Source organism: Homo sapiens, chromosome 13 (genome assembly GCF_000001405.40).
Source record: "Homo sapiens chromosome 13, GRCh38.p14 Primary Assembly".
Classification (NCBI taxonomy): domain Eukaryota; kingdom Metazoa; phylum Chordata; class Mammalia; order Primates; family Hominidae; genus Homo; species Homo sapiens.
In genome coordinates, this window is record NC_000013.11 from 113527345 (window position 1) to 113554307 (window position 26963).

Sequence of the window (26963 nt, forward strand, 5' to 3'; positions counted from 1 at the left end):
ATTCTTTCATGGTTAATCTGCTGGCCACAAATTCTCTAAGTTTTTCTTCGTCTGGGAATGGCCTTTGTCCCCGCGTCACTCCGAGGGCATCTCACGGGATGTGGATTTCCAGGTGGTGGCTCTCCTCATCCAGTGCCTGGGAAGCGCGTGTCCCTGCCCCCGGCTTCTGTGTTCCAGCTATGAAACCTGCTGCTGTTTAGACTTGTGCTTCTCTCGAAGGAATGAGGGGTTTCTCTCTGGCAGCTTTCAAGGTTTTTTTCTCTGTCTTTAGTTTTCAGAAATTGTATTACCATACATCCTGGAGCAGATTTCTCTGGGTTTGTTCTATTTGGATTCAGTTGGCTTCTCGCATCTGTGGGTTTATGTCTCTTGGCTAACAGGAAGTTTTCAGCCATCATTTCCTCACATCCTTTTTCAGTCCACTTGTTCTCTCCTGCGATTGCGGAAACTTAGAAATCTGCTCTTTGGTTAGGGTCCTGCGGGTCTCTGAGGCCTTGACCGTCCTCGGTCCGTTTCTGTGTGTTCAGGCAGATGAATTCTGTCTGTCCTCGGGGTCACCGGTTCTGCCCTCTCTCGTCTCCACTCTGCCACTTAGCCCATCCCCAGAGATTTTTATTATGACTGTATTTTTTTAGTTGTATAATTTCCACTTACTTCTTTTATGTAGCCTTTATTTCTTGGCTGAGATTTTCTATTTTTTATTTGTTTACAGAGAGTGTTTGTGGCCTTTTGAAGCGTTTTAGTCATGGCTGCTTTAACACCCTCATCAGATAACTCCAGTATCCGTTCGTCTCGATGTGAAGTCTGGCGCTTGTCTTTTCTCCTTCAAGTTGTGATTTTCCCGATTCTTAATATGATGAGCGACTTTTCGTTGTATCCTGGGTGGTTCGTGTGTTTATTAGGAGGCTTTAAACCAGTGACTCCCCTGGGGAGGGTGGTGTGAGGCCTGGCCAGGGGGTTCTGCTTCCTGCCAGGCCTCCAGCCCCACCCCGGCCCAAACAGCTGGCAAGCGCTTCCTCATGGCAGGCGGTGGGGTGGAAGAATTTTTTAGTATTTGCCTTTTGCCAGATCTTCTGTTACATCTTCCCTGCTGTCGGTAGCTCAGCCAGGCAGGCAGGAAAGTAGAAGGAATGAAGGGCTGTTTACCTGGGTTTTCCAGAGGTTCAGCCCAGGCTAGAGCCCCAGCTTGGCCATGCTCTGGCCGTGCAAGCCCTGGCAGCTTTCTGTGAATTGGGGAGGACGTGGGAACAGTGCCTACCTGGTGGACCGTGGGAAGACTGAAAGAGAAAACCAGGCAGGGCACTTAGTGCAGCCGCTGGTGGAGGCAGTGGTTAGAGTTCACTCGCTAGAGGGTCCTTGTGATAAGAGGGTCCTTATGATAAGAGGGTCCTTATGATAAGAGGGTCCTTATCATGGCCATTTTCCTTTGATCCAGATGTCTTTAAATATCAGAAAAATAACGCTTTTAGTCCCAACCGCCACATCGGAATCAGTTCTTATTCCTTCTGGCTACAATGTCCAACATAAGTTGAACAACATAATTTGGACAACAGAAGGAAGGGTTGTCATGCTAGCCGGAGATGACTTCTAGTTAAGAGGTCTGAGCATTTTCCACGCACAACCAGTTATTCTCAACGGAGGGCGGACTCTCCATACGAAACAAGCAGAGCCCTGGCAGAGACTGCAGGGCATTTGTAAAACTCAAACACCACGTTGATCTCACTGCCACGTTCTTTCCAGTTACACGCAGGTCTAACATGCTGGCATAAGACATTGTCTTAATCAGAACACTTTTAAAGCTTTTTTTTCCCTTTTTTCCAATTCAAAAAATTAATGCAGTACAGGTATTGATCCCACCGAAATTGTTCTAATTCAGTCATGACACTTCATGTTTACAAAGAGTTGATGACTTGGAAAAATACTCTGTAATGCTGTTAAACTTAAGAAACAGAATCGGGCCGGGTGCAGCGGCTCACGCTGTCATCCCAGCGCTTTGGGAGGCTGAGGCAGGAAGATGGCTTGAGAGCCGGGCGCAGCGGCTTCCGCCTGTCATCCTAGCGCTTTGGGAGGCTGAGGGGGGCGGATCACGAGGTCAGGAGATCGAGACCATCCTGGCTAACACGGTGAAACCCCGTCTCTACTAAAAATACAAAAAATTAGCCAGGCATGGTGGCACGTGCCTGTATTCCCAGCTACTCGGGAGGCTGAGGCAGGAGAATCACTTGAACCCAGGAGGCAGAGGTTGCAGTGAGCTGAGATCACGACACTGCACTCCAGCTTGGGCGACAGAGCAAGACTCTATCTCAAAAAAAAAAAACAAAAGAAACAGAAACAGAGTCAGAATTGTAGACCACGTTCCTCCTGACGCTAACACAGAGCTCCCATTTGACCCAGCTGTTCGCTCCTCGGTATTTACCCGCAAGAAACAAAAACACACATCCACATTCAGACTGATACACGGTGGTGATGGGGGTACAACAGTGTGAATCCACCTGATACCACAGAGTTACACACTCAGAAATGGTTAACATGGTACATTTTATTGTATGAGAGTTTCACCACAATGAAAAACTTGTACCTGAATGTTCAAGCAGCATTATTCGTATAGTTAAAAAGTATTAAGAACTCAAATGTCAATTAGATAACAGGTAGATATACAAAACATACTATATTCAGCAAAGGAATATTATTCAGCCATAATATAGAATGAACATTGATTCATCCTATAGCACAGATGAAGCACGATGCTTCTGAAAGAACCGGACAAAAAGTCCACACGCTGTGTGATTCCATTCATACCAACGTCCAGACTAGGCCAGTCCGTACAGACAGGATGAATTACTGGTTGCCGGAGGGTGGGGAGGTTGGGGGAGATGGGGAGGAAGTGCTGATGGGTACAGGGTTTCTTTTTGGGATGATGAAAGTATTCTAACATGGATTGTGGTAATAGTTGTGTAATTTTGTGAATATGCTGGAAACCATTGAATTGTATACTTTAAATGGGTAAGTTGTATGGTAAGTGAATTATATATCATAGCTGTTAAAAATATATACGATATTTTAATTAGACATAGAAGAACATGAATAGAGACTAGAAATATATATATGTATATATAACAAGGTGTTAATGATTTTCTACTAGTAGACTGGTAGATTTGTACTAAGTTTTTTCTACTATATATACTTTTCTGTAATTTAGGAAAACCTCCCTTTCAATTTTAATAACGAGGGAAAATTTATATTTAAAATATCAAAGAAATAAAATTAGTTGCAACATAATAGACTCTGCTTTCTTATTAAGCTTTATTCAGAATTAACCTTGATCATTCCTAGAGGAAAGAACTCTTTCCCTCAAAATATTTCACAGGTAAAGAACAGAACACAGAAGGCTGTAATAAAGCAAAACAGATGTTTATGCCCATATTAAAGACAGAGGCTTATGTTTCTTATTTTATAAAGGTCTCCTATACCTTAATAAGAAAAATATGAATAACTGAGTTTGAAAACAGGTCAGCAGCAAAGCAGCTATTAGACTTGAGTAAAGTAGGAAACACCCACCCTCACACCAAAGAAGGGTGATGGCACCACCCGCCCATCAGACTGGGCACCATTAGAAGCTGGGTGGTGCCCAGGTTGGGAAGTGGGGTACCTTGGGCATCATTGTTGGGATGGGAATTGGAGCAACTTCCTGGCGGCCCACCAGACAGCACCTGTCATAGTGGGAGGCACCCGGCTCCCTTAGTGAGCACCCACTGCCACCATCAGTGGACCCACAGGCTCCTTGGTCACCGCAGCGCCCAAGAACCAGGATGGCCGTGGAGTCAGTGTGAGAACCGGGACAGCCCTTGCATCTGGCTGAGCAAATGATGGTGCGTCCCGCCAGGGAGCCCTTCCTCACCTGTCCGCTGGCCAGACATGCTGATGGGAAGCTTGTCCACTCACCTGTCCGCGGGCCAGACGTGCTGATGGGAAGCTTGTCCACTCACCTGTCCGCAGGTCAGATGTGCTGATGGGAAGCTTGTCCAAACACGCTGAGACAGTCAGAACAGCCGTGGACACGGCGCCCCGTATGTGCAGATCAAGAGCAGCACACGCGTGGACCTGCAGGTGGCACGGCGCCCTGTACATACAGATCAAGAGCAGCATGCGTGTGGACCTGCAGGTGACACGGCGCCCCGTACGTGCAGATCAAGAGCAGCACACGCGTGGACCTGCAGGTGGCACGGCACCCCGTACATGCAGATCAAGAGCAGCACACGCGTGTGGACCTGCAGGTGGCACGGCGCCCCGTACGTGCAGATCAAGAGCAGCACGCGTGTGGACCTGCAGGTGACACGGCGCCCCGTACATGCAGATCAAGAGCAGCACGCACGTGGACCTGCCGGTGGCACGGCGGCAAGCCGGAATCCTGAGAAACTTGTCACGGTGATTGTCTTTCAAAGAGGTCAGAGTTGAGCGCACTGTGGCTTCTGATTGGCATCTTTCTGAGCCCTCATCACTGTGCATTTAATGGACACTGTGGGAGTCTTCTGGGAATTAGACCTAAATCCAAACCCTGGGGATGGTGGCTGTGGAGAGCTTGTGTAGCCGTTAGGGGCTTGGTCCTGGAGCCAGATACCTGAGTTGTCCCCAGCTCTCTGCACTGGGCGTGTGGCCTGGAGCAGATCACCTGGTCTCTGCCCCTGTTCTCATCTGTGACGTAGCAGTGGGGATCGTACAGCTCTTACCAGGCTGCCATAATAGGTGGCACACAGTGCTCTGCACACAGTGCTCTAGGGGCTCAGGATGCAAGGGTGAGCTCAGCAGAGGACGTTCCCCATGTGGGGAGCTGCTGTTGTGTTTTGGAGAGGCAATGAATGAATGATGCACAAATGAGTGGTAGACAAGACATCCGCAGCAGGGAACCGCCCTGCGAATGATTCAAACAGGAAGAGGAGCTGGTGAGCAGCCGTGAGCCCCCAGACGCACAGGCTCTACCTTTGGAGATGTGGCTGGAATTTGAGGAATGCAGCTAAGCCTGTTGGGAGAAGAGTCTAGGGTAGGGACCTCCCAGGCAAGGGGCTCTGTGGCCTGTGTGGGTGGGCTGGGGCAGTGGAAGGGCATGGCAGGGCAGAGAAGCCTGGGTTCCATCCCAGCGTCCAGGAGCTGATTGAGGGTCCTGATGAGCTGTCTGGGCCTCTGTGTGGAGAGCAGATGGATCAGGAGGAGGCCACTGGAGCTGTGGGGGAAGGGGTGGCAGCCCAGGCAGGGACCACGGTGCTGGGCCCAGGGCCAGACGTGGGCCTGGCAGTGTGGCAAAGCTGTCAGGAGTGCGGCAGGCCTGGTCTGCTTGGCCGTGAGTCTGTCTCCGTTCCTGCCAGGGCTGCAGAAAGGGGCCTCTCTCTGAGTCGCGGACTTGGGCCCTGCAGTGAGCTCTGAAGGACGCTGCCTCCCTCCTTCTAAGTCGCAGACGTGGGCCCTGCAGCGAGCTCTGAAGGACGCTGCCTCCCTCCTGAAGTCGCAGACGTGGGCCCTGCAGCGAGCTCTGAAGGACGCTGCCTCCCTCCTACTGAAGTCGCAGACGTGGGCCCTGCAGCGAGCTCTGAAGGACGCTGCCTCCCTCCTGAAGTCGCAGACGTGGGCCCTGCAGCGAGCTCTGAAGGACGCTGCCTCCCTCCTGAAGTCGCAGACGTGGGCCCTGCAGCGAGCTCTGAAGGACGCTGCCTCCCTCCTGAAGTCGCAGACGTGGGCCCTGCAGCGAGCTCTGAAGGACGCTGCCTCCCTCCTACTGAAGTCGCAGACGTGGGCCCTGCAGCGAGCTCTGAAGGACGCTGCCTCCCTCCTGAAGTTGCAGACGTGGGCCCTGCAGCGAGCTCTGAATGATGCTCCTTCACAGCTGCTTCTGTGGCCGTTGTTGATCCCTTCATTCCATCCCTTCATTCCATCCCTTCATTCCATCCCTCTCTGCTTCAAGCCCAGCTCTGCTGTGGTTCCCCGAAGGAATCATGGCAGTTTGAGATTTGCGTTTCCAGCACTTCTGCTTTAAGCCAGACTGCAGAGGCTGACGCCCTTGGGAATCATAGGTTTCCTCCACCGAGGAAACTTTCACCAGAATTGTGGCCTGAGTGGTGGAAGGCTAAGGTTAAATATAGGTATATTTGTGAAGACGGCAGATAGTGGATGTCCGCTGGCTGAGATGGTGATCTATTCTGAGATCTGGGTAGTATATTCTAAACAGAACATAGCAAAGGATCACTTTCTCTGTGTCTGAATCACAGACACAGACCTCAGAGCTGGCTGCCTCGGGAGTGCCTTGCTGACGGTCGCTGGAGTTCGTCCATCAGGCGACTGCGGTGGGGCACGGAGAGCAACCGCTGCCTGGCGGAGACTTTGATGTGCGGCTGAGGCCTGGCGAGGAATTTTATCGTCAGGCATCAGCTGAGATAGGAACGCTGTCAGTCGAGAATTTTCACATTCTAGAATACGCATTCACCCCAGAGTATTGACTGCAAACCAATGCAGCTTCCACCTTTGGCTCAACACAACTTAATTTCTGAGATGAGTATGATTCATAGGTGTTTTTGTATTTGAAAATAAAGATGTGTATGATTCAGGTAATTTATTTTGTAGCATGTTAAAGAAAAAAACTGAAAGATTATTTTATTGAGTTTTAGAGAACTGTGTTTTGGAAGTGAAATCACGTCTCTTTTTTCTTTCCCAGCATTGTCGTGGAAGTTCTCCGAATCCTGGTTTTGATTGGTCAGATTCTTTTTTCACTAGCGGCGGTTTTTCTTTTATGTCTTGTTATAAAGAAGTATCTCATTGGACCCTATTATCGGAAGCTGCACATGGAAAGCAAGGGGAACAAAGAAATCCTGATCTTGGGAATATCTGCCTTTATCTTCTTAATGTTAACGGTAATTCTCAAACTATGTGTTATTTATGTAATCTGATACATAATCTCTTTCACTGAAATCTTGTGATCCATTCTTTACCTTTCCATTTTAATAATGGTTAAAATATTTGAAACATTTACTAGTATTTTTTATTTTATACACACTTTCTTATACTACCCATCAAAATATAATACAGGGAGCTAAACCCGTTTAACTGGTTTGACTCATACTCTTAAGCACTTTGCTAAAATAGTGTTTGTGAGTATTTCATTAAAAACAAATCCGTGGGCCGGGTATAGTGGCTCACACCTGTAGTCCTAGCATGTGGGGAAGCTGAGGCAGGAGAATCACTTGAGCTCAGAAGTTTGGGAGCAGCCAGGACAACAGAGTGAGAACCCCTCTGCTACAAAAAATAGAAAAACCAGCTGGGGCGTGGTCGCGCTCATGTATAGACCAGCTGCTGGAGAGACTGAGCTGGGAGGATGGCTTGAGCCCAGGAGGCCAAGGCTGCAGGGAGCTGTGGTCGCACCACTGCACTCTAGCCTGGGTGACAGAGCAAGACCCCATATCAAAAAAAAACGGCCGGGTGTGGTGGCTCACGCCTGTCATCCCAGCACTTTGGGAGGCTGAGGCGGGTGGATCACAAGGTCAGGAGATCGAGACCATCCTGGCTAACATGATGAAACCCCGTCTCTACTAAAAGTACAAAAAAAATTAGCTGGGTGTGGTGGCGGGCGCCTGTAGTCCCAGCTACTCAGGAGGCTGAGGCAGGAGAATGGCGTGAACGCGGGAGGCGGAGCTTGCAGTGAGCCAAGATCGTGCCACTGCACTCCAGCCTGGGCGACAGAGCAAGACCCCATATCAAAACAAACAAAACTGTGATGATAAAAAGCGCCATAAACACTAATATCAAACCATGCTACTCTGTCTTAAATTTTCAAATAGCTTTGCACCTGAAATACAAAATTAAGTTTGGAAAAACAGTTTTTAACTGTGTTGCTCACAAGCTAATTAACTGTATAAGTTCTGCCATGTGAAAGGTTAAAAAATAAAGTTCATTTTGGAAAGTGGGCTTCTGCTTACCGAGACGACAGTCTTTACATGAGAGTGGCGGGAGATGCTCCTGGACCCCCATAGAGTCTCAGTAGTCCTGACAGCGCACCTGGGCACCGTCACCATTGTCCCAACAGTGCACCTGTGCACCGTCACTGTTCAGCCCGGCAGGTGCTCTTCCTGCTGTTTATCCCAGAGAAATGAAGCCGTGTTCACACAGTAGCCTGTACACAGGTGTTTATAGCAGCTTTATTCGTATTAGCCATAAACAGTCCAAAGGTACTTCAGTGGGTAAATAAATGTTCAACAAACTGAGCTATGTCCATACCACGGAACGCCACCCAGCAGTAAAACCACCGGCACACACCTCCGAGAACTGCGCAGAGTGGGCAGGCAGCCCCCAAAGGCTGCGTACTGTGTGGTTCTTTTTATGTCACATTTATGAGGCGAGAAGATTCTGAAGTTGAGGAAAGGCTCGTGGTTCCCAGGAATTGAGGATGGGCAGTCTGGGGAGGGGCTGGGGATGGCACTCGCTGTCTTCGCTGTGTCTGTATCGGCACCTGAGTGGGGGTCTGGGGAGGGGATGGGGATGGCATTCGCTGTGTTTGCTGTGTCTATATCGGCACCTGAGTCGGGGTCTGGGGAGGGACTGGGGATGGATGGCACTCGCTGTCTTTGCTGTGTCCGTATCAGCACCTGAGTGGGATCTTGTGCTGTAATTTGGCAAGATGTTACCATTGGGGAAACTAAAGGGTAATGAGGACTTTGTATTACTCTTAAAACTGCAGGTTAATATATAATTATCTCAAAATAAAAAGTTTCCGGCTGGGCGCGGTGGCTCACGCCTGTAATCGCAGCACTTTGGGAGGCCGAGGTGGGTAGATCTTCTGAGGTCAGGAGTTCGAGACCAGCTTGGCCAACATGGTGAAACCCCGTCTCTACCAAAAATACAAAAATTACCTGGGCATGGTGGCGCCTGCCTGCAGTCCCAGACACTTGGGAGGCTGAGGCAAGAGAATCACTTGAACCCAGGAGGCAGAGGCAGAGTTGATAGAGCAAGACTGCCTCAAAAAAAAAAAAGTTTCCATTTAAAAAAAGTAAATTAACAAAAATTGTTTCTTATATATAATTGCCTGCTAATGTTTTGTAAACCTGGGAGGAAATTATGATTTGCTTCTGGTTGTAGTGATTTTAACTATTTCAAGAGTGTGACTTATTTAAATTCTTACATTGTTTTATCCATTCCAGAGTATTTTTCTCTTTGAAAATAACTCCCAGCAGAATTGTCTTATCTGGACAACTTCCGTGTTGCCCTCCCAGTGGCTTCTTCCATTACAGTGACTCTGCCCGGCTCTCAGGTTTTCTCGCTCTCTGGGCAGCCCTCACCGTGCACCTGCTGCCAGCTGCTTGGGGTGCTGGGCCTTCTGCACATCTGCACCCGATGCCACAATGTATTCTTTCCACTGTTCAGTCTTAGGATTCGTTTCCATTTAGAGCTGCTGCCCATTCTCGTGTTTCTGGAAGGTGCTTTCACTGCTGATGAGCCTAGTAGAGTGCCTGTGGAGGTAGGGTTGCAGGGCCACAGTAAACAGGAGCTCAGCCGTAGCCATGACGTGGGTTTCCCCAAAGTCGCCATGCCAGCCCGTCCTGCTGCTGTGCCGTGAGCACGCCGTGCCCCACAGCCTCCTTGCACTTGCTCCAGGAGTGGAGCATCTCAGGGCTCTGATGGGGGCTCCAGCGTCCACTTCCCGATGGCTGGTCCCTCAAGCCCTTTCCAAAGCTCAGTGGCACCTGGGTGTTGTCCTGGCGGTGTTCCTATTAAAGCCTCCAGGTCGTTATTCTGTAGGGTGAGGATTCTCTTCTCATTTGTAGGAATTATTTTTTATATGCCGGCAGATTTTTTTGTCCTTCTTAAAAATTTATTTACTGAGATGAAATTCACATAAAATTCGCCATTTTAATCATTTGAAAGTCAGCCTTCAAAATGTTTTGCCACCATCACCACTACCCAATTATATCCACCTCCCCAAAGGAATCCCCATGGCGCTCAGTTCTCCCCCCAGCTCCTCGAGGCCATGGAGCCACTTCCTGGCCCCGTGGGCCGCTGCTTCTGGCCGTGTCGCGTGGCGGCTTCCGTGTCTGGCTTCCACTTAGCACCACGTCCTCCAGGCCTGGCCGCGTCGCCGTGCGCACCAGCACTTCGCCCCTTTTTATGGCTGAAAAACATTCCATTCCAGCATGTCAGATATGTTTTTGCAAATGTCTTGCAGTTTGTGACTCGCCTTTTCACTCTCTTAACGGTGTCTTTTGATGAACAGAAGTTCTTAATTTCAGCATCATCGCTTATGAATTGTTTTCTTCGTGGCTATCTTCTGTGTTCTGTGTGAAAGATCCGCCTGCCCCTGGGTCGTGAAGATGCTCTTTACTGTTGTCAGTGAGCGTTCTGCTGTGCTTTTCTCATTAGATCTTCAGTCCACCCAGAGGTGAGCTTCGGTTGTGTTGGAAGTGAGGGAGTGGATGAGGATTCATTCATTCACATGCGTTTCTGAATGCCATGCGTTGAAAAGACCTCCTTCCCCCCTTCTATAGCATCACCCTGTCAAAAACCAAGTAGCCGTGTGTGTGTGCGTGCATGTGCATGTGTGTGTTCTTTGTGCATGGCATGTGTACCTGTGTGCATGCATGTGTGTGCTTTGTGGTGTGTACATGTATGCTTTGTGGTGTGTGTACATGTGTGTGCTTTGTGGCATGTGTACATGTGTGGGGTATGCTTTATGTGATGTGTGTACATGTGCATGCATTCGTTTGCCTTGTGTGGAATGTTACATGTGCATGTATGTGTTTGTGCATGCATGTGTGTGCTTTGGTGTGGCATGTGTACATGCATGAATGTGTACTTTATGTGGTGTGTGGTTTGTGTACGTGTGTGTGGCATGTGTGCATGCATACATATGTGCTTTGTGTGGTGTGTGTGTGGTATGTGTTCGTGTGTGTCTGCTTTGTGTGTGGTGTGTGTACCCGTGGCACATGTGCGTGTGTGTGTGTGTGCACATGCCCCTCTGACTCTGCCCACCTGCCCTCGGCTGCACCGCAGCTTGATCTCCGTGTTTGGGTCCAGCTTTGTTCTGTGCTAGGGTCGTCTTGGCTCTATTCGTGCTCTTTCCAAATTCCACTCGAGTTTTTAGATTCAGCTGGTCAGTTTCACACACATGAGTCTCTTGGCGCTCCTGTGCGTCTGTTGGCCAGGGGAGGGAGCATCCGCCGCTCCGCCGTGCTGAGCCCTTGGCGCTGTCATCTGAGTCTTCCGTCTTTCGTGGGTCTCTGTGTCTTGCAGTGTCAGGTGCAGGCCTTCTTTTGGGTTGAATCCTCAGGATGTGATGTTTTTGTTGCCATTATAAATCGTAGTTCTTTACAAGTTTCTTTTCTTTTCGTCTGATGCTGCTATCGTCTACAGTTTTGTTTTCTCAAGATAAAAATCATCTTTCAGGTTGGCCGGTGTCAGCCGTGCGTCATCCGGAAGGCTGCCATAAGCCTGCGTTTCGCAGAGCTGCGCTGAGGCTCCCGTGTCGCGGCCGTCCGGCCGGCGCGCTGATGTGGCTGCAAACCTGGGTATCAGATCAGCCGCCGTGGACACGCCGATGCTTCTCGCTGGCTTCGTGCCCTCCCGGGGCTGTTGCTTGTCGTCCTGTCGCTTTCTCTCTGCTTTGAGGCTGGTAGTGGGAATGCGTTTCTAACACTCCCACCGGGCTATTCTGATTCAAGGTCAAGAAAATGTATCACAAATATTTAAAACAGTTGGAAAATATTCTCATTCAAAAATTTCAGCGCAATCTGTATGGATATTTGTTTCAAATATTTTTAAACAATTTTTTTCTCCCAGTAAGGTTAATTCAACTAATAGCAGCCTCCACATGTCACCTCTCAGACCCAGCAGACGACCCAGGACCAGACACACACACGCTCTGTTTGTGCAGCTTCTGTGTTTTGTCGTGGTGGCTCTGCTGGGTCTCGGGGTGGCCTTGGGATGGGGGTGACCCTGGTGCACTGTGGGGTCTCATGTAAAGCTGCGTCCTGCCTCTCTCAGGTCACGGAGCTGCTGGACGTCTCCATGGAGCTGGGCTGTTTCCTGGCTGGAGCGCTCGTCTCCTCTCAGGGCCCCGTGGTCACCGAGGAGATCGCCACCTCCATCGAACCCATCCGCGACTTCCTGGCCATCGTTTTCTTCGCCTCCATAGGTAATCTTCCTTCTTTACATTATGATTGTGTTGGTTAAACGTATGCAGAGTGGTTCTGTAATATGTTTACGTGCATATATATTTATATAGCAAAAATGGTTATCTTAAAAATTAAGTGTATTCAGCATATTTCAATTTGGATTGCTAGTAGCCAGAAACTGTTTTCTGCTTTATAGAGCGCAGAGAAATCTTATTTTATTATACTGTTTCTTCTGTCCAGCTTTTCCTTTAGGCTCAGGGTACGTGTGTGGGTCTGTGACACGGGTAGTGAGTGTCACAGGGCTTTGGTGTACAGATGATTTTGCCACCCAGGTAATAAGCATAGGACCCTCGGCAGTGTTTTAATCCTCACCCTCCTCCTCCCAGCCTCCACCTTGCCCAGGCCCCAGTGTCTCTTGCTCCCGTCTTTGTGTCCACGTGTACTCGGTGTTGAGCTCCCACTTGTAAGTGAGAACATGTGGTATCTGGTGCTCTGTTCTGGTGTTAATTCCCTGAGGAGAACGGCCTCCAGCTGCATCCGTGTTGCTGCAAAGGACGTGATTTCATTCTGTTACGGTTGCGTAACATTCCCTGATGTATATGTACCACATTTTCTTTATCTGGTCCACGGTTGATGGACAGTGGGATCCTTGGAATTCACAATCTGGGCCGATTCTGTGTCTTTGCTGCTGTGAATGGCGCGGTGATGAACGTGTGAGTGCGTGTGTCTTTATGGCAGAAGGACGTATGTTCCTTTGGGCGCAAACTCAGCAGTGGGATTGCTGGGTCGAATGGTAATTCTGTTTGCAGTTATTTGAGAAATCTCCAGACTTTCCATCGCGGCTAAACTAATTTACTGTCCTACCAATGGTGTCTAAGTGTTGCCGTTTCTCCACAACCTCGCCAGCGTCTGTTGCCTTTTGACTTTTTAGAATCGCCATTCTGACTGGTGTGAGATGGTATCTCATTGTGGTTTTGATTTGCGTTTCTCTAATGACCAGTGATGTTGAGCATTGTTTCCACATACGTGTTGTGTTGGCCGTGTGAATGTCTTTTGAGAAGGGTCTGTTCCTGTCCTTCCCTATTTCCTAATGGGGCTGCTTTTTGCTTGCAGATTTGTTTAAGTTCCTGATAGATTATAGATATAAGACCTTTGTCAGGTCCATAGTTTGCAAGTATTCTCTCGCATTCGTAGGCTGTCTGCCCTGCTGAGAGCTGCTTTGCTGGGCGGAAGCTCCTTGGCTCACTTGGTCTCACTTGTCAGTTTGTTACCGTTGCGATTGCGTTTGTAGTCTTCTTCATGAAACCTTTGCCAAGGCCAACGTTCAGAGGTTTTCTTACAGGGATTTTACAGGGTTCGGCTTTACATTTAAGTTTTTGTTACACCTTGACTTGATTTTTGTATGTGGTGTCAGGAGGGGGTCCGGTTTCAGTTTTCTGCATGTGGCTGGCCAGCGATCCCAGCACTGTTTGTTGAGTGGGGAGTCCTTTCCCTGGTGCTTGTTATCGTAGGCTTTGTGGAAGAGCTGATGGCTGTGGGTGTGCGGCCTGATTTCTAGGTCTTCTGCCTGTCCCGATGGCTTGTGTGTTTCTGTGCCAGTGCCATACTGTTCTGGTTGCTGTAGCCTGTGCTAGAGTTTGGAGTCAGGTGGCCTCCGGTGCCTCCAGCTTTGTTCCTTTTCTTGGAGTTGCTTTGGCTGTTGGGGCTCTTTATTCTGCAGGAGGAAGATTATGCCACGCACACGATTGCTGATCACTGCCATGCTTTATTACCGCCGAGATGTGTGGATGATACGCACACGATTGCTGATCACTGCCATGCTTTATTACCGCTGAGTTGTGTGGATGCCATGCACACGATTGCTGATCACTGCCATGCTTTATTACTGCCCAGATGTGTGGATGATACGCACACGATCGCTGATCACTGCCATGCTTTAATACCGCCGAGATATGTGGATGATACGCACACGATCGCTGATCACTGCCATGCTTTATTACCGCCGAGATGTGTGGATGATACGCACACGATTGCTGATCACTGCCATGCTTTATTACCGCTGAGTTGTGTGGGTGCCATGCACACGATTGCTGATGACTGCCATGCTTTATTACCGTCCAGATGTGTGGATGATACGCACACGATTGCTGATCACTGCCATGCTTTATTACCGCCGAGATGTGTGGATGATACGCACACGATCGCTGATCACTGCCATGCTTTATTACCGCCGAGATGTGTGGATGATACGCACACGATCGCTGATCACTGCCATGCTTTATTACCGCCGAGATGTGTGGATGATACGCACACGATCGCTGATCACTGCCATGCTTTATTACCGCCGAGATGTGTGGATGATACGCACACGATCGCTGATCACTGCCATGCTTTATTACCGCCGAGATGTGTGGATGATACGCACACGATCGCTGATCACTGCCATGCTTTATTACCGCCGAGATGTGTGGATGATACGCACACGGTCGCTGATCACTGCCATGCTTTATTACCGCCGAGATGTGTGGATGATACGCACACGGTCGCTGATCACTGCCATGCTTTATTACCGCCGAGATGTGTGGATGATACGCACACGGTCGCTGATCACTGCCATGCTTTATTACCGCCGAGATGTGTGGATGATACGCACACGGTCGCTGATCACTGCCATGCTTTATTACCGCCGAGATGTGTGGATGATACGCACACGGTCGCTGATCACTGCCATGCTTTATTACCGCCGAGATGTGTGGATGATACGCACACGGTCGCTGATCACTGCCATGCTTTATTACCGCCGAGATGTGTGGATGATACGCACACGGTCGCTGATCACTGCCATGCTTTATTACCGCCGAGATGTGTGGATGATACGCACACGGTCGCTGATCACTGCCATGCTTTATTACCGCCGAGATGTGTGCTCTCAGTGGGCATTGAAAGCGGCCAGATCACCTTCAGGGGAGAATGCGTGTTATTCTCATCACCTCCTCATCACAGGCACTGGTGCCCACACAGGGCAAGTGGTGGGAGCTCAGGGTCAGCCACAGAAACTAACATGTCAGTGGCAAATTTGGAGGAAATACTAACTTTGACACAGAAAGTTTAAACTGAGCACAGTGAGATGGGCCGCTCTGGAAATCTCCCTTGTCAGGGTCTGTGGAGCAGCCTGGAGTAGTGATTTGAGAGGGTGGAATCACAAGGGATCTGGTGTCGGGCCACATCCCTGGCAGCTGTCCACTCAGCACAGGGTCTGAGATGCCCTGTGCTTTACAGGGGCCACAGACTCAGCACAACCTCAACCAAACGGAAAATTCAAAAGCTGATTCTGAATTTTATGTGGAAATTTGAAGGCCATAAATAGCCGAGGCAGTCCTGAAAGCAGCACAGAGTTGGGAGGCTTGGGCCCCTTGTCGCAGGTGAAATAGGACCATTCAGCAGGGGCTTCGTGACCTCCTGACCCCAATGCAGCCTCACGAGTCAGTGTGTCCCGGGAGAGCCTCTCGGCTGCCATTTGATCCCCTTGCTCTGCACCCCCGGCCCTCCGTGTGTGTGACCCCCACCTCCTCCCCCTGCCTCCCGCCCTACCTCTGTCTGTGACCCCCACCTCCTCCCCCTGCCCCCAGCCCTCCCTGTCCGTGACCACCTCCTCCCCGTGCCCCCCGCCCTACCTCTGTCCGGACCCCACCTCCTCCCCCTGCCCCTCGCCCTCCCTCTGTCCGTGACCACCTCCTCCCCCTGCGCCCCTACCCTCCCTGTGTGTTACCCCCACCTCCTCTCCCTGCCCCCACTCTGTCCGTGACCCCCACCTCCTCCCCCTGCCCCCGCCCTCCCTCTGTGGGTGACTCCACTTCCTCCCCCTGCCCCCCGCCCTCCCTGTCCGTGACCCCACCTCCTCCCCCTGCCCTCCCTCTGTCCATGACCCCCACCTCCTCCCCCTGCCCTCCCCCTGCCCATGACCCCCACCTCCTCCCCCTGCCCATGACCCCCACCTCCTCCCCCTCCCCCCGCCCTCCATCTGTGTGTGACCCCCACTTCCTCCCCCCGTGCCCCCAACCTCGCTCCTGGTGACTCCTCCTCAGCAAGCTAAATAAACTGATTTCCTGATCTTCCTTTCACTTCTTTTAGACGAGGACTAATAAAATGGATCAGGCCTGACCTGATTTTTCCCACATTGCTCCAGCCCCAGGCTGCCCTGGCCGTGGCGTGTGACCTGGTGTCTTGTCCGCCGGGGCTTTGTTGAGTGTGCATGTCTGAGAGCTCCTGTTAAAAATCTAAAATTTCATAAATATGTGATTTACACAGACATGCTTGCCTTGTCTTCAAACTAGAGTTCTTTTATGTTGAGAACCCTTTCTATTCACATCATTCTACGTGTTTTTGCTCTAGTTTTTGGTACTGAGTATATCAGGGAATTCAAGTTAATTTTTCTGCCATCTGAGAACTTGTTTATAGCTCACTTTTTTCTCTAACTCGGCCAGGACCTTATTTTTGTTCTGGAGTCCAGGCAGCACGTAGACGGCATCTGCCCGCTTCAGACGGCACCTTTGCCTCTGTGCGTGGGACCCGATATCCACTTCAGGGCGGCAGAAACCCGGGTGGAGCTCCCAGTTCCAACAGATGTGTCCGGGCTGCCTGCCCGGTGCAGCCGCAGAGACTCCTCTGCAGGTCAGCCACAGCCACAGCCACAGCCACCTGCAGGCTGGCAGGCGTCGCTCTCAGGTTCCCGCCCCGAGGCTCGTGCCCGCTGGGTGAGGCCCAGGCTGTGCTTCTGAGTCGAGGCTGCATCTGAAGGGTGTGAAAGGGGCAGGGCAATCTTTAGGCCCTGAGTGAGGAAGGGCTGCTGCGCCGAAGGATGGCCCAGAAGGCACCACAGAGCAAGGTCGGGGTCTCGTGGACGGCACGTGGCAGTGTGGCTCCGGCCCAGGTTTCGGAGCAGGTGGTCTTCCCACTAGATGAGGGTTCGCCAGCTGCGGCCCAAGGCCTGCTCACCACCTGCCTTTGTAAATGCAGCTCTATGGAAACAGCCACGCTTGCTCATTTACTCTTTATCAGCAGCCGCTGTTGGGCTACTTATTAGCTCGGGCCATCAACAAAATCCTCCAGACCGGGCACTCAAACAGTAGATGATTATCTCTCACCGTTGTGGGGGCTGGAAGTCCAAGATCCAGGTGTCTGGCGAGGGCCATGCCTGCTCCACAGATGGTGCCTCCTGGCTGTGTCATCCGTGGCTCAGCCGCCATGGCCTGCGCGGAGAGATTAGGTTCTCACGCATGTGGCCTCATTTTGCCTTAAGTAGCTCCCGCAGACCCTGTCTCCAGATACAGCCACACTGGGGCTGGAGCCTGAACGTAGGAGTTCGCAGGACACAGCTCAGTCCACAGCAGGTGTTCGTCCATAAAGCACGAAGTGTTTTCCATCTTGGCCTTTGTGGAAGATGCCTGCCCAGCTCCCTAATTCCTAGTCACTCCAGCTTTATCGACAATGTCAGTCATTGGGTGTGTCTTGTGAAATTTACAGCAAGGATTTCATCCTCTTCTCATGTTCCCCGCATTCAGAAGCAGGCAGCTGGCTCTGGGACAGTGCTGGGAGCTGCCTTGCTGTTGGGCGTCCCTCCCTGGTGGATGCAGGTGTGCGCCCCCGCCAGCCTCGCTCACCTTCACGCCATGGCCTGGTGCCTGTGCAGGCAGCGTCCTTAGCAGCCCTGAACCAGGCACATACCTCACATGGCAAATTTCCTTTACTCAGCCTCCAAATCCACATTCACAGATGAGGAAACTGAGGCACACAGAGATTGAAACATCGAGCTGGGTCCACAGTGAATGTGGTGCTCCTGGGTGCTGTGGAGCCGGTGGGGCCCAGGAACCCAAGACTTGAGCCCAGAGCCCACATAGTTTCTCAGTGCTACACCAAGTATAGGTTTGATGTTTGTTTTGAGAATAAATGACCCTGCATAGAAAAGTCAGCATAGCTCATTAAAGAAATTGAAGGGAGGTTTCCTGTCTCTCATTTTCATTGCTGTTTCTGGGACTGACTGGAATGCATTAGGCTCCATAATTATTGGCTCACTCCCCCCACCCCCACTCCGCCCCCAGGGCCAGGAACTCTTAGCTCAGGCAGGGGTGGAGTGAGCCATGTTCCCAGGGCAGCCCTGCCTTGAAGGAGCTTGCACTGAGCTCAGGCAGGGGTGGAGTGAGCCATGTCCCCAGGGCAGCCCTGCCTTGAAGGAGCTTGCAGCCCAGGGTTGGGTGGGGGGCAGATGCAGGGACACAGCTGTCCAGCTCAGCTGAGAGCACAGGAGCCTCCGGGGCATCAGCGACTGGCCGGGGTGAGGGATGCCACCAGGTGCAGAGGTGGAGGCTCAGGGCGTGCTGGGGAGGAAGAGAGGCTTGTGGAAAAGTCCAGAGGTAGGAGATGGGAAGGAAGCCTGGAATCTCTGGAACAGGACATTCCCAAGCAGGAAGGAAGCCAGTGGGGCTGGAGATGAAGGGGAGGCTTTCCACCGGGCAGCAGCGGGGAGAAAACGCAGCCCGGAACGCCCAAGGTGGGGAGCCCTGGGTACCTGTGTGGCCGCGATGTGAGGCCCCCTTTGGGGAGAGGTGGGAGCGTCCCCTGTGCCATACACTGTTGTGAGCTTGTCTCAGTTGTGCCGGCGTGGACATAGGGCCGTGACGGTAGTGACTTCCTAGACACCAGTGTGGCCAAAGGCAGCCTGGACCGGGCATTGCAGCAGGGCAGAGGCACAGACATCCTGAGGGGAAGCAGGACTGGGGCCGGGGCTCAGCTGACAGCTGGGGAGAGAGGGAGGTGGACCCCAGGCCGCCGTGGGGCTGGGGCTGATGAGGGGGACACAGTGGGGCCAGGCTGGTGGCCGGGGTAGGAGGGGCCGTGGGGAGCACTGGGAGTGGGCATGGAGGGGGCAGCTCTGAGACCCAGACCCAGGAGGAGGGGCCGTGGCTAGAAGACTGGGTGGCCAGAGAAGGCAGCCCTCAAGCGCAAGAGAACCCCGGGTCGTGGCAAGAGAAAAAAGGCCAGTGTTTACATTTGTGTTTCTGGGTCAGGTAGAGACAGTGGTTTGTGAACGGCAGAAAGGTCATGGGCCTGCTCCGTGCACCTAACCCTGGGGTCTGGGTCCTTCCGATCAAGAGGAGGCCTCTGGGCTGCCGGGCTTCCTCCGAGGGCTGACATGCATCACTGGGCAGCTCCAGGCTGTGGCTGGAGAGCTGAGCCCAAGCTCAGGTCCAGCCCCAGCACCGCCGGCCCCTCTGCGTCACTCGGCAGCACAGCAGGACTGAGCAGCCCAGTCCGAGAGTCCTGAGAGCAGAGAGAAGAAATATGTGGAGACAACGTTTCCCATTGTTTTTAAAAATGTGTGAGCCAAATAAAGGAAGGAAAGGAACATTGACCACAGGCGTCCTGTGAGCGTGGCACTCCTGGGCACTCCTGGGCACTGTGGGGCTGTGGGCTCTGGGATCATCTGCACCTCAGCTGGAATATTTCCTGAAGGAGTGCCAGACCGAGTGCCGCCTCTGTGTGTTTTGCTGTGTCCTCTGCAGTTGAGGCCTGTTGCAGGGAGTGGAGCTGGGATCCCACCACATCAGACAGGTCATCCCAGGGCAGGCTTTTCCCCGGTTCGCTCAGGAAAGGGGCGGCTTTTTAGCATTTGCTGTTGCTTTCACACGTGCACTTGGGAGGATTTAGGATTTTAATTCCTGTATTGAAGCAAGTGACACACTGAAGTTGTGAGAAATAGTGTGCGCTGGGGGAGGCTGTCCTGCGGTCGTAACGTGTCTGTCCTGTTCCCAACAGGGCTCCACGTGTTCCCCACGTTTGTGGCGTACGAGCTCACGGTGCTGGTGTTCCTCACCTTGTCAGTGGTGGTGATGAAGGTATGGACTGGAAGGGTCCACGCCCCTCGCAGTTTGCAGGCTCAGCATAGCCCTCCCTGTGGCCCTGGTTTCCAGTGGGGCCCACATCGGGCCTGCAGAGCCGGCCCTGCTCCTCATCTCGGAGGAGGCCCACTGGGCCACTGGACCCCGGGGGAGGCAGATGTAGACGAGGCTGGGCGGTCTGGGTTTGTCCATGTGATCGATTGTTTCAGAATTGAGCGTGTTTAAAGGGGGGAACTAACCTTTTGGGACCCTCAGGACGGGCCTTGGCTGCAGTCCAGCCCGTCCTCCTCTGACAGATGCAGACATGCTTTTTAAAGACTGGAAAATGGTGTAGGCACTTTCTGTCTGTCCCCCGTGACTGCCAGTGATCGAGCTGCCTGTGTCCACATTTAATTGAAGGTGTGATGACCTAGTCAGCAACCAGTGGCTTTCTGGCTCATAGACAGTGACTTAGGTCATTTCCGTTTTAAGGAGCCAGAAGCTGTGATGATCGTTGGACCACTCCACCAGCTCTTAGCTACTCGGCCCAAAGACACACCACCAGCTCTTAGCTGCTCGGCCCAGAGACACACATCTCTCTGTATTAAAAAGAAATTTCCACCTTGAGTACCCCACGCTTAATGCTATTAATCTAGTTTGGTTGGGGCGGGGGCGGGGGGGCTTGGGCAAGGCTTATTATTTTCTGCTAATGAACCGAAAGGCTTAATTTTGCCTTATTGTTCAGTGTGGATTATTTAAGAGGTTTTGCGTGTATTTGGTGCCTTCGGGTGTTTGGAGTGCTTCTGTGCCTTTCCCTACTTGACGTGTTATTCAGGGACCATCGCAGCGTGCCTGTGGCTCGTCTGGGTTCTCTGTTTCGTGTGTGTTTAACTCTGTGTGGGTCCAGTCTTCAGCAGTGACGTAATGAACCGCTCTTGCAGTTTCTCCTGGCGGCGCTGGTCCTGTCTCTCATTCTGCCGAGGAGCAGCCAGTACATCAAGTGGATCGTCTCTGCGGGGCTTGCCCAGGTCAGCGAGTTTTCCTTTGTCCTGGGGAGCCGGGCGCGAAGAGCGGGCGTCATCTCTCGGGAGGTGAGTGGCTTCCCCCCGCGGAGCGCTTCTCGGGCGGCACGGGCTGCACTCTGGGTTTGAGTCGGGTGTGGCGAAGGCGGCTCGGCAGCACAGCGGGGCCTGGGGGCAGGGTCCTCCTCCAGGGGGGCACGCAGAGGCCTGGCTGCTCTCTGCTCATCCAGCATGTGGCGTTTTCAGAGGAAAGTTGCAGTTAGTACTGCTTGAACTATTGCATTAACCTTTTACAACAAGTCTAATTAAATGTCAGATATTTCTTCTGAAAGAAAACTAACTTTTTAAAGCTGAACTGCCAGTGTGCACATAAGTAGCACCCCAGAAACGTGAAATACCCGTAATGGCAGTGTGCCCGGAGAGCTGGGTGGAGGTTCCTGTGGACACTGAGATGGCCCTGGGCATTCGGACTCACGGCCTTGTCTCCTTGCATTGTGTAAGTGTGAGGCGGGTAGAAGTCCAGGTGTTGAGTGCAGTGGAAGTAATTGCTGAAAGGTAGAATTGCTTACAGGAAGCTCCACCTGAGGCCTGACCCAAGGCCGCATCCCCAGGGTCAGGGAAGCTGTGGGGCAGGCTGGCTTGTTACTGTGGCCCGGGGTTGGCCTTCAGGCAAACACAGGCTAAAGCTGTTATCCTGTGGCCCATCAGGACTAACCATGCATCACTGATCTTGAAATCACAGTCTCTCCTACATCCCAATGTCCTCAGCTTCTGGCTGTACTTCCATGTGCTTTAAAGAGATAGTAGTGAATTTATGATGTGCAGGCGTCCCTCCCAGCACTCGGCATGACCGCGCTTAGCTTCCATCCCCCACCCCCCCGTGCAGGCATCCCTCCCAGCACTCAGCGTGACTGTGCTCAGCCTCAGGACTCTAGCTTTGCAGGCGTCCCTCCCAGCTCAGTGAGACCAGCCCTGTGCTTTCCTGTTGCAGGTGCTAGTCCTGACAGTCTCTGTGACCCGCTCTGCACTTTGCTGTTGCAGGTGTACCTCCTTATACTGAGTGTGACCACGCTCAGCCTCTTGCTCGCCCCGGTGCTGTGGAGAGCTGCAATCACGAGGTGTGTGCCCAGACCGGAGAGACGGTCCAGCCTCTGATGGCTCGGAGATGATGGACCGTGGAAGGGAAGCGTCTGTGGGGAGTGAGCGCTTAGATGGCCAGCAGCTGCTCCTTCTGGGAAGCTCGCACCTTGGCAACAGAACAGCCCTCTAGCAGAGCGTCAGTGCAGTCGTGTTATCCCGGCTTTTACAGAATATTCTTGTCCTATTTTAGAATTTTCCGGAGTAGTTTATTTGCAGTCTGTTGATTATGTGCAGTAGACCCGGGACACTGCGTTTTACCGATCACCTTGAATGTGGTGCCTGGATGTGCCTTTTTTTTTTTTCCCTGAAATTATTATTAATTTTCTATTGTGAGTTCATCAGTTCATAGTTTTTTTAGTAAAGAAGCAAAATTAAAAGGCTTTTAAAAATGTACAACTTCAGAATTATAATCTGTTAGTCAAATATTTGTTATTAAACATTTCTGTAATATGAAGTTGTAATCCTGGCCGTGAGCTTGGAAGCTTACTTTTGATTCTTAAAGCCTATGTTTTCTAAAATGAGACAAATACGGATGTCTATTTGCCTTTTATTGTAACTTTTAAATGAAATAATTTCATGTCAATTTCTATTAGATATATCACTTAAAATATTTGGTTTTAAATCACAAGAATATGTATTCTTTAATAAAGATAATTTATGATCATGGTATAATTAATTGAAATTTATTAAAATCTGTTTTTATTAATTTTTTTGTATTGAGCTTATCTTTATACAAAATTCCAGCCAATTTTTTTTTTTACTAAGATGATTTCTATATTAACATGCTATTCTCCAAGACACCAAATTAATGCAGTGTTAATTGATAAGTTCTAACTTTTGATATTTAAATATCTATTTTGGTGATTATGTGCCCCAGTTTAGAAAACCACACAGGTGAGGATCTGAGCCTCACAAGGACTTCCCTAAGAGGCATTGTGCTCATCTGTTTTGTGCTGCTGTAATAGAATGCCTGAAACTGGGTCATTTACAAAGAACACAAACTTATCTCTCGAAATTCTGGAGGCTGGGGACAACAAGATGGAGGTGCTGGCAGGTCAGGCCTGCTCTCTGCTTCCGGGATGGTGCCTGGAACGCTGGGTCCTCCAGAGGGAGGAAGGCTGGGTGCTAACGTGGTAGAAGAGCAGGAGAGCCAACCACTCCCCAGTCCCCTTTGTGTGGCAGCATTGATTCACGAGGGCAGATTCCTCCTGACCTAAACACCTCCCTGCAGGCCTCACCTCCCAACGCTTGCAGTGCACATCGAGGGGACAGAAGCATTTGAACCGTAGCAGGTACCGTATTAGGCTTTTTCAACTGCATGAATTTTTTTAATTGACAGATAAAAGTCAACATATTTATTGTGTACAACATAGCAAGTACTTTAAGCCAGGGTTTTCGTATACCTGTCAGCTTTAAGAGCCTAACAATTTGACCAAAATACTTGAGATAGAGAAGGTAAAAATGGCAGGTGTAATTATGTATTGCACACATAAATTATCGATTGCAGTAGTATAAATTAAAACATTTTGAAGTAAGTTGTATCTAGTCTGAAGCAGATTAATGGAGAAATGATACCAACATGTTTATGTTTAGAAAATATCTTTGGTTTTTCATTTCTAAATGAGCCCAAATGGTCTAGTGCCGTTTTCTCCTCCACTCGTGATGATATATGAGATGTTGCCAGGTGCATGTGAAGCGTTCTGGGTGTGGCCTGTCTGCCTGAGGCTGACTGGCCTATCACTGTGTCCCTGTGCTGCTTTGCCACGCCTGTGACACTCCATCTTCCCTGTGCACGCGCCTTCTCCCCATCCAGGCATTCAGGATACAGTGGAGTCTCTGCAACAGGGTGACTTTTTTTTTGTCTCCAACACCTGTGACCATCTTTTTAATTTTGTTAAACTGAAGGAAACCGACTTGATGAGAGTAACATCAAACTCCCCCCAAAACACGAAATTAGCCTCTCTCTGCAAGATGAAATAAGAAGTGCCCTGAATGACGAGAGAAAGCATGCTAGGGTCTCTGCCTAACTGATCACTCAGGTAAGATCCTAACTGCCCAGGAACGGTGTCCTCAAAGCCCCAGCTGGGCCCACCTGCCCCACTCCAGCCACAGGACCTGGCTCTGTGAACCCGTCACTCCCGTTTTCACCCCCACCTCTCTGCTAGTGACTTCCTCATCTGTGACCTGCCCGTTTGTCCCATGCTGACCCAGCAGAACCCTTTCTTGACCTCATGACTCCTCTTTCATCCAGACCTTCCAGAAAGCTTCACCCTCCCCATCCCATCCCCATCATGTCTGCCCCTGTCATCCAGATGGGGGTCTCCGAGCCACCGAGCCCCTGGTAGCCACATTGCCCCCACCCTGCTCTCAGCATTTCCCCAGTGTGTAGCATGTCACTAGAAAGAAGTGGGAGGACGGACTCATGGTGAGTCTTGTGGGGACATGTTTGCTGGAGGCTAACCAGCCTGATCATGACATCTTCATCTTAAATTTGAAAATTGTCATCAGGTTACGGTGAAATCCTACCGGATCAACATCTGAGACCAGGCTTATGGAAGTGAGCTTCCAACCTGAATGCTTGAGGCTGAGGGGGTGTTGGCGGCCTCGATAACAACCTGAACAACAGCTGGCAGCAGGGAGTGCCTGGGCCATGTGTCCCCAGAGCACTGACCTGGGTGGTCCAGTCTCCTGTCTCGAGCTCCAGCCATGAGCTTACACGGCCTTCACACTCCCCCCAAAACCAGCCATTCTCAACCAGCGAGGCCTCTGTGTCTGCAAGGCCAGTTTTATTTCTTCTTTGATATTTCTGCTTCTGTGTCCTTTCCCCGCTGCCCAAAAGCTGCCTCCCGTCTGCCCATGCAGAGCTGTATTACCCAACAACACCCAGCTCGACTCGGACAGCACCCAGCTCAACTCGGACAGGCCCCGGGAAAGTAAGAGCTTGGGGGGAGACCCACAGGCCCACACGGCAGCACTGCGAGGCTAGACCGTAAACATGGGTCAATTGAATATTTATAAACAGGATACTTAAAGGTTCTTGGGATATTGAACAATGAAAGAAATTGTACTATTTGAAAATTCTATTTCACATGAAAATGTAAAATTTCAGCATATCAGAAAGCATCGTGAACAAATTTGAAAGCCAAGCAAAACTGGGAAAAATATTTGGATAAAAAAATCCTAACACTGGTACATAATACATAATAGGCAGTTCATATGTATTTTTTGTATGAATGAAACTTACAATACTTTTATTAATGTCATGGGAACTTATAAAAACTGCATGGAGATATTTTAAAGAAAAAATTTTGAAACCCATTTTGGTTTTCTTTATAATTCCTTCAGTTCAGCCCATTCCTGTAACCACGTGCTCATCCCCACAGGACTAGGCAGTGCCCACCCTTGGTGCCCTGCAGTGCACCGCAAGGACATGGCCGTGGCCTGGAGCCGCGTCCCTGAGTTCCTGGTGGGCCGCGTGAGTCTCCCTGTTCCTCCCTGCTGCCTTCTCCTCTCCTGGCTTCCCCACCCCATACTTCCCTGATGATATGGTTTGGCTGTGTCCCCACCCAAATCTCATTTTGAATTGTAATCGTCATGGGTTGACCGAGGGAGGTGATTGGATCATGGGGGCAGATGTCCCCCAGGCTGTTCTCATGATAGTGAGTTCTCACAAGGTCTGACGGTTTTAAAAGTGGCAGTTTGTTCTCGCGCTCTCGCTTCTCCATCCTGCTGCCTTGTGAATAAGGATGTGTCTGCTTCCCCTTCTGCCGTGATTGTGTTTCCTGAGGTCTCCCCAGCCATGGAGAACTGCAAGTCAATTAAACCTGTTTCCTTTATAAATTACCCAGTCTTGGGGAAGGCGTGAGAACAGACAAACATGCCTGAGTCCCCGAGTCTGTGATGCTCCTCATTCTTCAGCACGGCCTGTGCCCGGGACGGGGCGCTCCTCCAGTGCAGAGCTCACACCATGACTGTGGTGTCCTTCAAATAACACTGCTGCTGCCAGCTTCCCAGGGACTCTTCTCCTGTGTGATTCCAGTGCCTTGCCTATGTCCCTGCTAATCTTCTGGAGTTTAGGGGTCCGTGCGAAGCCCACCCCACCTGAGTCCTTTCATCCTGGGTGCCTTCACCTCCGTCCAGGACTCCGGGGTTGCAGCCACACATGCTCATGTCACCGTGAGGCCCAGCCCTCCAGGGCCTGAGATGTACAGATGCTATCCCCCTGGGCACCCAGTGTTTCCCCTTCCTCCCTGTCTGCCTTTTGCTCAATCTCTCAGCGCCCTCAGGAAGCCCTTTCACAGCTCAGCAGGGAAACCTCTGGGCTCCTCCCCCTCCAGCAAGTCACCTGGAAGCTCTCAGGCTGGCCATGGAAAGCTGAACCCACTGCCAGGGGACTGGACAGAGAGGCTGGTCTCATTTTCCAATCCCTTCCAGAAGGAAGGAGGATGCTTCTCCTGAGAGCAGCGACAGGTTTGTGTCCTGTGACCTCTGCCTTCCCTCGCCCGGGGGAGGGTGATGGGGCGTCTTTTTGGCTTTGGTTTAAGTAGCAAAAGAGATGGAGTGTTCAAAGGATTGAGGGGTCGGCCGAGGGTGGGGCTTCTCAGTGAGGGGCGGGTCCTCTGGGCGTCATGAGGGCCTGGGGAGAGGACCCTGACCCACTGCCAGGGAGCTGTGCCAGAGGTTCCCATGGGACATGGAAGGGGAACCGACATCCGTTTCTGCACTGGGGTGTGGACACCTGGCCCCACACCACCTAGGTTCCCCCACAGGGGCCTGAAGACTGG

The 26963-nt window shown here is 51.1% G+C and overlaps 1 protein-coding gene across 27 annotated transcripts in view, besides 4 other annotated features; it reads left to right on the forward strand.

The window, feature by feature from the left end:
- The window catches only part of SLC9D1 (solute carrier family 9 member D1), a 59209-nt gene extending 36324 nt beyond the window's left edge, over nucleotides 1-22885 (forward strand). For 10 of the 27 annotated variants that reach the window (NM_017905.6, NM_001349746.2, NM_001349742.2 and 7 more), the window contains 5 exons: nucleotides 6701-6896; nucleotides 12013-12163; nucleotides 19956-20035; nucleotides 20959-21108; nucleotides 22081-22885. In NM_017905.6, coding sequence (NP_060375.4) covers nucleotides 6701-6896; nucleotides 12013-12163; nucleotides 19956-20035; nucleotides 20959-21108; nucleotides 22081-22194 — 691 coding nt within the window. In that variant the 3' untranslated portion in view covers nucleotides 22195-22885. Of the gene's footprint in view, nucleotides 1-712; nucleotides 3280-3996; nucleotides 7948-9176; nucleotides 11246-12012; nucleotides 12164-19955; nucleotides 20036-20958; nucleotides 21109-22080 lie in introns of those variants that run through there. The other 17 variants (NM_001349744.2, NM_001349745.2, XM_047430399.1 and 14 more) reach the window with 11 other exon arrangements.
- Nucleotides 11106-11294: a silencer, noted in NCBI's record as "fragment chr13:114192765-114192953 (GRCh37/hg19 assembly coordinates)". NCBI's record gives its function as "represses an EF-1alpha promoter that drives an FKBP-Casp9 reporter gene in an ReSE screen in HepG2 liver carcinoma cells {active_cell/tissue: HepG2}" and the evidence as "EXISTENCE:reporter gene assay evidence [ECO:0000049][PMID:32094911]".
- Nucleotides 13601-14800: an enhancer, noted in NCBI's record as "CDK7 strongly-dependent group 2 enhancer chr13:114195260-114196459 (GRCh37/hg19 assembly coordinates)". NCBI's record gives its function as "activates an origin of replication core promoter dependent on BRD2, BRD4, P300/CBP, MED14 and CDK7 cofactors, with strong dependence on CDK7, by STARR-seq in HCT116 cells {active_cell/tissue: HCT116}" and the evidence as "EXISTENCE:reporter gene assay evidence [ECO:0000049][PMID:35650434]".
- Nucleotides 18600-19343: an enhancer, noted in NCBI's record as "H3K27ac-H3K4me1 hESC enhancer chr13:114200259-114201002 (GRCh37/hg19 assembly coordinates)". NCBI's record gives its function as "activates a minimal SCP1, AML or CMV promoter by ChIP-STARR-seq in naive H9 embryonic stem cells {active_cell/tissue: H9 hESC(naive)}" and the evidence as "EXISTENCE:reporter gene assay evidence [ECO:0000049][PMID:30033119]".
- Nucleotides 24390-24891: an enhancer, noted in NCBI's record as "H3K4me1 hESC enhancer chr13:114206049-114206550 (GRCh37/hg19 assembly coordinates)". NCBI's record gives its function as "activates a minimal SCP1, AML or CMV promoter by ChIP-STARR-seq in naive H9 embryonic stem cells {active_cell/tissue: H9 hESC(naive)}" and the evidence as "EXISTENCE:reporter gene assay evidence [ECO:0000049][PMID:30033119]".